General features: G+C 36.9%; 1 annotated feature.

Annotated features, from left to right (window-relative positions):
- Window positions 396-1,595: an enhancer, noted in NCBI's record as "MED14-independent group 3 enhancer chr8:90365894-90367093 (GRCh37/hg19 assembly coordinates)". NCBI's record gives its function as "activates an origin of replication core promoter dependent on BRD2, BRD4, P300/CBP and CDK7 cofactors, and independent of MED14, by STARR-seq in HCT116 cells {active_cell/tissue: HCT116}" and the evidence as "EXISTENCE:reporter gene assay evidence [ECO:0000049][PMID:35650434]".

Consider the following 9,360-nt stretch of genomic DNA (forward strand, 5'->3'; position numbering starts at 1 on the left):
TCCATGAGGGCCCCAGTCATGCAGCAAACTTCCTCCTGGACATCAGGCATTTTCATATGCCCTGTGAAATCTAGGCGGAGGTTCCCAAACCCCAGTTCTTGACTTCTGTGCACTTGCAGGCTCAATACCATATGGAAGCTACCAAGGCTTGGGGTTTGCACCCTTTGAAACCATGGACTGAGCTCTAGGTTGGCCCCTTTCAGCCATGACTGGAGTGGGTAGGACACAGGGCACCAAGTCGCTAGGCTGCACATAGCACGGGGACCCTTGGCCCAGCCCATAAAACCATTTTTCTCTTCTAGGCCTCCAGGCTTGTGATGAGAGGGACTGCCATGAAAATCTCTGACCTGCACTGGAGACATTTTCCCATTGTCTTAGGGATTAACATTCAGCTCCTCGTTACTTATGCAAATTTCTGCAGCAGGCTTGAATTTTCCTCAGAAAATGGGATTTTCTTTTTAATCACATTATCAGACTGCAAATTTTCTGAACTTTTGTGCTCTGCTTCCCATATAAAAATGAATGCGTTTAACAATTGAATGCTTTGCTGCTTAGAAATTTCTTCCACCAGATACCCTAAATCATCTCTCTCAAGTTCAAAATTCCACAAATCTCTAGGGCAGGGGCAAAATGCTGCCAGTCTCTTTGCTAAAAAATAACAAGAGTCACCTTTGCTCCAGTTCCCAATAAGTTCCTCATCTCCACCTGAGACCACCTCAGCCTAGACTTTATTGTCCATATCGCTATAAGCATTTTGGGCAAAGCCATTCAACAATTCTCTAGGAAGTTCCAAACTGTCCCACATTTTCCTGTCTTCTTCTGAGCCCTCCAAACTATTCCAACCTCTGCCTTTTACCCAGTTCCAAAGTCACTTTCACATTTTTGGGTATCTTTACAGCAGCACCTCACTCTACTGGTAACAATTTACTATTTTAGTTTGTTTTTATGCTGCTGATAAAGACATACCTGAGATTGAGAAGAAAAAGAGGTTTAATGGACTCACCATTCCACGTGGCTAGGGAGGCCTCACAATCATGGCAAAAGGCAAAGAGAAGCAAGCCACATCTTATATGGATAGCAGCAGGCAAAAAGAGTGCTTGGCAGGGTAATTCCCCCTTATAAAACCAGCAGCTCTCATGAGACTTACTCACTATCACAAGAACAGCAAAGGAAAGACCTACCCCTATGATTCAATTACCTCCCACTGGGTCCCTCCCACAACAGTGGGAATTCAAGATAAGATTTGGGTGGGGACACAGCCAAACCACATCAATGGCCAATAGGTATATTTAAAAAATGCTCAGCATCACTAATCATTAGCTAAACACGAATAAAAACTACAATAAGGTATTACCTCACACCTGTTAGAATGGCCTTCATCAAAAAGCTAGAAAAAAAGTGTTGTCAAGGATTCCGAGAAAAGGGAGCTTCTGTACATTGTTAGTGCAAATGTAAGTTAGTTCAGCCCTTATGGAAAATGATAAGAAGATGCTTTTAAAAACTAAAAATGTAACTACCATATGATCCAGTAATCTTATACTTCTGAATATATATCCAAAGAAACTAAAATCAACATGTCAAAGGGTTAGCCCTTCATATTCATTGCAGCATTATTCACAATAACTAAGATATGCAATCAACCTAAATGTCCATCAGTTTCTGAATGTATAAAAAAATGTGGTATACACACACAATGGAATACTGCTCAACCATAAAAGGGGGAATTTCTGTCATTTTCAACAATACAAATTAATCTGAGGTACATAATGCTAAGTGAAATAAGCCAGACACAGAAAGACAACTGGTATCATTTATACATGGAATCTAAATAATTTGAAATCATAGAAGTAGCAAGTAGAAGGACCACAACTTACCAGCGGCTGGGAGTTTTGGTTATGAAGAGAAAGGGAATGGAGAGTTGTTGATCAAAGTGTAAAAAGTTTCAGATAGACAAGAGGAATAGATTTTGAAATCTATTGCACAATAGGGTAATTGTAGTCAATAATAATGTATGGTTTATTTCAAAATCACTAAGATATTCAGTTTCAAATGTTTCACCCTAAAAAAAGATAGGTAAGTGAGGTGACAAGGTGATTAATATGTTAATTGGCTTGATTTACTCATTCCACTTTGTATACATATATCAAAACATCACATTGTACTTCATAAATGTATACAATTATAATTTGTCAACCAAAAAGAATACTAATAATTTTTTAAGAAGCTCTGGCGCTTGATCTTTTCAGAAGGGGAAAGTTCATATGGGACTCACTGATGTCAAGCTTTCCCTGCAATATCAATTTAAATTTTCCAAGAATGAGAAGTCACTTATTTTTTATTTCCATAGGAAGCAAAAACAGCGAGACCAGATATAAAGACTCAAATGTTATCATGCTATTATCAGCAGAGTACACAGAGAAAGAAAAAGAAATCTTTGTTTTTAATTTAGGAACTAAGAACAGAGGGATATATTAGCAGAAGGCCATACATTTCAAACTATATGAGTGCAACCCTGAGTCAAAACTGCTTGAGGTCACTGGGCATGGCTTTAAAATCTGGCTGTGTCAGAATTACCTATGGAGCTTGTTAAAATTAGAGGTGCCTACGTATACCCCAGACTTCCTGCATAATCCTTGCGGATGAGGTCCTTGAATCAATATTTGCATCAGGCTTTCCAGAGTGGCTCTGGTGCACCAGGAGCTTTAGCACCCAGAGATCTAGGGCAAGACCTGAAACTATAGACAACATTTGGAAGCTGCAGTCAGGGCTTTAAGAACCTTAACATCCCCAGAGATGGTCACTTCTAAATGAAAAATAAGTTAGAGCCATCCTCAACTCTAACTGGAAATAGGTTTCTTTCTCCCTAATTCTTTTTTCAAACATGGGTTTTAATTTTATCATACATAACTGATCAACACTATTTTTAGTTTTGCTCTTTTGGTGGCAAATGGGGACTAATTCAATCTACTTCAACGAGATGGGAGTTTATTTTAGGAACATATGTCGACCAGACCTGAAACTTGATAACACTAAAGGACTACATCTAAAGCAGCTCTAAGAACCACTCACACAGGATTGCTCTCTCAGGCATCTCAGTTTCTATCAATTGGGGAGAAAGGCAGAGATGAAGGACTATGGGGTATAAACTTGACTCCCTAGAAACCATGATTGGAAATGGGCAGTTTTCATTAGAAGGGGAAGTGGGTGGTAGGATAAAGTGGGTATTTCTACTGCAAATACCTATGCTGCTTTTTGCTAAGTATTTCTTTCACTTAACATAATTCAGTAGGGAACTGAATCAGGTTTCTTCCTTATATCTTCATAAATACTTGAAGACTGAATCCTGTTTATTTTTTTCCCTAAATCTTCCTCAGACTCACTTTACTCCACATGCATCTTTCCTGCTGGTGCATGAGAACTTTTTTCTTTAAATGGCCTTTAACAATTCCCCATTCAAGAGACTATACTTAAGCAATTCAAACTTACTTGAGTGCCAGAAGCACATGCCAGGGTAGATTGTAAAGTATTTGAATGCAGTTTCCTCCACCACTTTCCCTAAACACCTGCAGAGCTTAGGAGAGCTCTGAACACAATGTAAACATGCTCAAACAATATTAGAAGTGATAAAGGAGGTCTGCAGGGATAAACTGACCCTAGTTAATGGTGAAACATGAATATAAACCAGGTCTTCTGCCTCTGTAATATCCTTCTACTTCAAATTATGTATGGGACTTAAAACTGATTTGGGTAAATCACCAAACTTACAGGGCTTTGATCAAATCATATGATACTTGTAGATTAGAGGATAAACAAATTTTAGTAAAAGAGTATTTGATTCAAATACTCCGAAGTATATTTAAAAGTAAACAGGTTTTTTGGCATGTTAAATAATTTAAAAATTACAAGCCCAACTAATTTTTAAACTATTTACAGCTTAAAATACAGATTAATTTACTGTCTTGCTCTTTAAACATTTTCTTTTAAACTGATATTGTTTGAATCTCTTTATCATACCTTGCCCTCTAATATTCTCAGAAAATCAAAAAATATTAACAAATTCAGCCTAACCTCATTTCTTCAACCAATTATTGTTCTGAGTTTATAAGTGAGAAGTGACAATGATGAATATGGTTTGAGGCCTGAAGGTACTCACTGTCTATTGGGGAAACAAACACATAAATAGGTAATTACACTATAATGTGGACAGTGCAATGCCAGATACCTATGGCTATTATGCAAGCACTGCACAGGGGACACTTGCCCCAACCTGCAAAGGTCAGTGAAAGCATCCAGAAGTAAAAGATGTGAAGCTGAATCACATGACTGCCCCATGCCCAGTACCTAACCAGCCTTAACAGCTTCATGTCTCAACGGCCATCAGCAAGTCCTGGTAAATACGTCTTGGCTTCAAAAACCTCTATCTCACCTGCAAGCACTCCAATTGAAACGACCATTTCTCACACAGACTACTACAATAGCCTCTTGGCAATTTTCCCCACTTCCATTTCTTATTTCTGTCCATTTAGTTTGCATATGGCATCCAGAGTAACATCATGTTACAGATCTGTTTAATTATTTCATGACTTCCCATCTCATATTTAGTTCCAAACAAACAACTTTCTAAGAAAAGCTCCTGATTGATCTGGGTCCCTGTCTCCCTCTCCAGTCTCAGCTCAATCTAAGTTCCTCTCTCACTACTCTCCAGTGCACTGACTTTCTGTTTCTCAAACACAAGCTCTATACTCCTTCAGGGCTTTTGCAACATGCTGTATTCTCTGTTTGGAATTATACTCTTCTTTCCTTGGCTGGCTACTTTTCATCTTTCAGGTCTGAAGTTAAATACCTCTTCTTTAGACATTTCTGATGATATGAAATAAACCTCCCTTATTATTTATTTTCACTCTCTGTCTCTTGTTTATAGCTTTGTAGCCCCTGTTACCAGTTGACTATTATAATGATAGCTTGTTTACTGCTTTCTGCCTGCCTTCTCACTAGGTTATAATTTGCTTCATAAGGGCTTAGGCCAAGTCAGTTTTGTTCATCCATGTACACCGGCCACCTAGTAGAATACAGCCTCAAAACTAGGCATTCATTAAGTATTTGTTGCATAAGTGAATAAATACATACACTCTGTGATCTAGCAAATCAAAACTACTCACTTTTTTTTCCATTGACTTCACTGGTATTCTTATATTTTTCAAGAAGACCATCTACCCAGCCACTAACTCTGCTTATAGATGGAGTAATTTCAAAATTTCTTTTCCATCTTGAATTCTTCTCTAATTTCTCAAAAATGATTCATCATTCTTTCCTTTGAATGTGCATAAGGATTTTAGCTTCTCTTAGGGTTAATGTTTGCATTATATGTTTTTTGCATAATTGTCCTGTGCCCCTTAAAGCCAGGAACCATGCCTGGCCACCTTATTTCTACCATAGAGCCAGGCAATGTTCACTAACAGTGATTATTCTGTAAAAGTGATGAGTGAACCAATTAATAAAATAATTTTTGGGCCGGGCGCGGTGGCTCACGCCTGTAATCCCAGCACTTTGGGAGGCAGAGGCGGGCGGATCATGAGGTCAGGAGATCGAGACCATCCTGGCTAACACAGTGAAACCCCGCCTCTACTAAAAATACAAAAAAATTAGCCGGGCGTGGTGGCGGGCGCCTGTAGTCCCAGCTACTCGGGAGGCTGAGGCAGGAGAATGGCGCGAACCCGGGAGGCGGAGCTTGCAGTGAGCCGAGATCACGCCACTGCACTCCAGCCTGGGCGACAGAACGAGACTCCGTCTCAAAAAAAATAAAAATAAAATAAAATAATAATAATAATAATAATTTTTGAACAAGTTTAAAGAAGAGGTTTTTGGGTAGTACAATTTAAAGATGAAACCTGAATATGGTTCTGAAATCTTTTAGGGTATGTGCTGAATGAACTGTGTCACCTCTTATTTTCTGTATCCACTCTTAATGTTGTTATCTTTATCACACTGTGGCCTTTCTCAGTGAAGCTGTCAAAATCCAGCTGGGCTGGTCAGCAAGATGCTGATGTTGCTCTGACACCTTGTCAACAATGACACTCCCTGTATCTGCCATTAAAAAAAAATCAGTGTTACATGGAAGGTAGAACTATATCAAGAATAATCTGAAGAAATTATTCTTAAGAAGAGTTTTTGAAATATTTGAGAACAGCCCAACACAGATAAGATTGTTTAAATTTCTCTGACGACTTTCACATAATTTTCTTATCTCATAATTACTAAACTCAAAATTCAATAACTAGAGATGTTAAGAGATATTAGCTTTAACATTAGCAGAAACCTCAAAAAAGGACTTTAATTAAAGAGTCCTGTAGCAATGTGCTGGGTACACATTTTTGACATAATTCACCTACCATATACAGCTGAAAATCCAATTTATACAACTTATGTTTCATAAAATAAAAATGCTAGCCAAAGTTATTTATAGCACAATGAAAGTTGTTAAAAGTCTAAAGCACGATAGTGACCTTTACATTATCCCAGAAAAGGCAATTTATTTCATAGACTATTGAATATAGAAACCATTTTCAGATACATCTAGTTTAAGTGGTAAAATTGCAGAAAATTACACATACAGCATGATAGCTTTTTTCCTACTCTAAGAAAACTACCTAAGTGCCTTCAAACTCTGTAAAATCGCTGCTCTTTTAGAATTAATGGTTTCCTAAATTACCATAAGCTGTCAACTTTTACAACCATTTTTGATTATTTTATGTTTAATACATATTTATTGGGGACCACTAAATTTAACATAAACTATAAGAGTTGTGACACTGGCCCTAAACAAACTTCATACAATAGCACCTAGCCTTGTTCTACTGAGAGGAGAGAGGAAAGAGAAGTAAGAGAGAAAAATATCCCTTCACGAAATCATCATTAAAGGCGGCCTCAAGGAAGACATGACCCAGCACCGACAGCTTCTAGCCCCTTAAGAGTTTTTCATCTCGAAATTTTATACTCTCTAATTTTATTAACTATGCTGTGCTATATACTTTTCCTCATAATTCTTTAGAATTGTGATTCGTGAATTTGATAGGTATTCTATACTGAGCTTGAACAAATCTCCCTGTCAATCCTTTATTATGTTTGCGATTGTATATACTTTGATCTTCCTTATACATCAGCATTTGATCTTTTAGACTGGAGTTCAGTATTTCTAAGTTCATCATTTTAGAGAGTTTAAGAATCTCAGCCTCCTTGATCATTTAAATTGTCCTTCCTGTGAACTTCCTAGGTCTTTTAGTTATGGTCTTTTTAACTCTGTCAAAGCCAGGTTTTTCCTTCTATTTGGGATCTAACATTGTTAACATGCTGACATTTAAAGATTTATGCAGCATGCAGAAATCAATGAAAAATCACGTAAGATCTGAGAAATTGTCAATAAAAATCAACTAAGGGCTTATTCTATAGCTATGTAGGCTGCTAATATCTACCTGATAGTCAAGTCTCATCTGAGTCAAAACACCTCTCAACCTAAATACATCTCTTCTACTTACCAAATACTGTGTCTGAAATTCCTAGTGTTATAAACACTCCTTAAAATGCAAACAACTTACCAATCTAGGAGAGAAAGACTGTTAATACATTGTAATCTAATTAGAGGATATTACATCCTTCTGCCTGGAGATACTGGTGTGTCAGCCAGGTAGAATTTAATGGAATAAATGATATTGTTTGGATGTTTGTCCCCTCCAAATCTCATGTTGAAATGTGATCCCCAGTGTTGGAGGCAGAGACTGGTAGGACGTTTTTGGGTAATGGGGATGACTCCCTTATGAATGGCTTGGTGCCCTCCCCATGGTAATGAGTTCTCACCCTCATAGTTCAGGCAACAGCTTGGTGTTGAAAGGGTTCTGGCATCTCCTCCTCTGTCTCTCTTGCACCCTTTTGCTATGGGACATGTTGCTCCCCCTTCACCTGCCACCACAATTGAAAACTTCCTGAGGCCGTCTTCTGGAGCAGATGCCAGTGCTATGCTTCCTGTACTGCCTGCAGAATCATGAGCCAAAATAAACCTCTTGTCTTTATAAATTATCCAGTCTCAGGTATTCCTTTAGAGCAACACAAATGGACTAACACAGTAAGTATGTAAAGAAATGGCTAAGTTTAAGGAAATATTTATGAAAGTAAGTCTAGGTAGGATTCTTAGGAGATAATGTGTAGTCAGGTGCAAGCATCCAGCAAATATAGAGCCTTGAAGGTGGGCATCTAAATAAGAGGAAAAAGCCTGGAATAGCAGATGCAACTAGATTTAAAATTAGCCCCAAATAAGCATTTGCACTTAAATGGCATAGTTGTATTAGAGAAACATTTTCATCCATAAGAGATTAATTTCAAGTAGCTGCATAAATGCAAATGACAATTAACTTTAATCTTGATGGCTAACTCACAAATTGGCAACATTTTAGAAATTCATGAAATATAAGTTTAATTAAAAAGGCATACAACTAGATTATTAAGAAAAAATACTTGTAAAAATCATACTTATTAAACAAAGATATGCAAATTAAGACATAAATAATCTATCAGAGTGTCAACAATTTTAAAAATGTTATCTTAAATGTAGCAGCAATACAGCTGGTAGAAATAGAAACCGGCACAAACTTTCTGGGAAACAATTTGGCAATATATACCAAGGTCCTAGGTAATATATATACCATCAGAGGAGAGTCTGTTTTAGAAATCTGTCCTTGGCAAACAAAGACGCAAAAAGGATTTCTTACTAGCTTTATTTGTAGCAAGAAGAACTATAAAATAGATATAGTTATATAGATATATCTGAATGGTTAGAAACACTGTGATTAAAAGAGCAAAGAATATTATACAGCTGTTGGAAATCATTTTTATAAATATATAATGGTATGGAAAAATAGCTATGAATCTTAAGAAAAGTGTGGAAGTAAATATTAAATCTTATATTAGGCTTTTTACAGGGTAGTAGAATTATACTTTTTTATACTTTATTGTATTCTCTTCAAAATGATGTATTCCTTATATATTTTGGAAAATAACACACTTTTAAGAAACGTAAGACTCTAAAGGTGGACTTCTTAGGCCTTACTAGTCATTGCAAAGTACTTTCAAGAAAGTTGAATCCAGATAGAAAAATGAAAAGAAGACACATGAAGGCTGTGTCAGGGTATAACTTTTCTCAAAGCCTCAAATCACCTGAAGCACAACTTTATTTTTAATATTTTACAATGTTGAATGCTGAGCATATGATTTTGAAAGACACATCCTTCTTAGGGAACAAAAACTTTAAAGAGTATTAACTAGCATTTATTGAATACTAAATGTTTTACCTGTATTAATTTAGCCTCATAA

The sequence above is a fragment of the Homo sapiens genome, chromosome 8 (genome assembly GCF_000001405.40).
Source record: "Homo sapiens chromosome 8, GRCh38.p14 Primary Assembly".
NCBI lineage: Eukaryota > Metazoa > Chordata > Mammalia > Primates > Hominidae > Homo > Homo sapiens.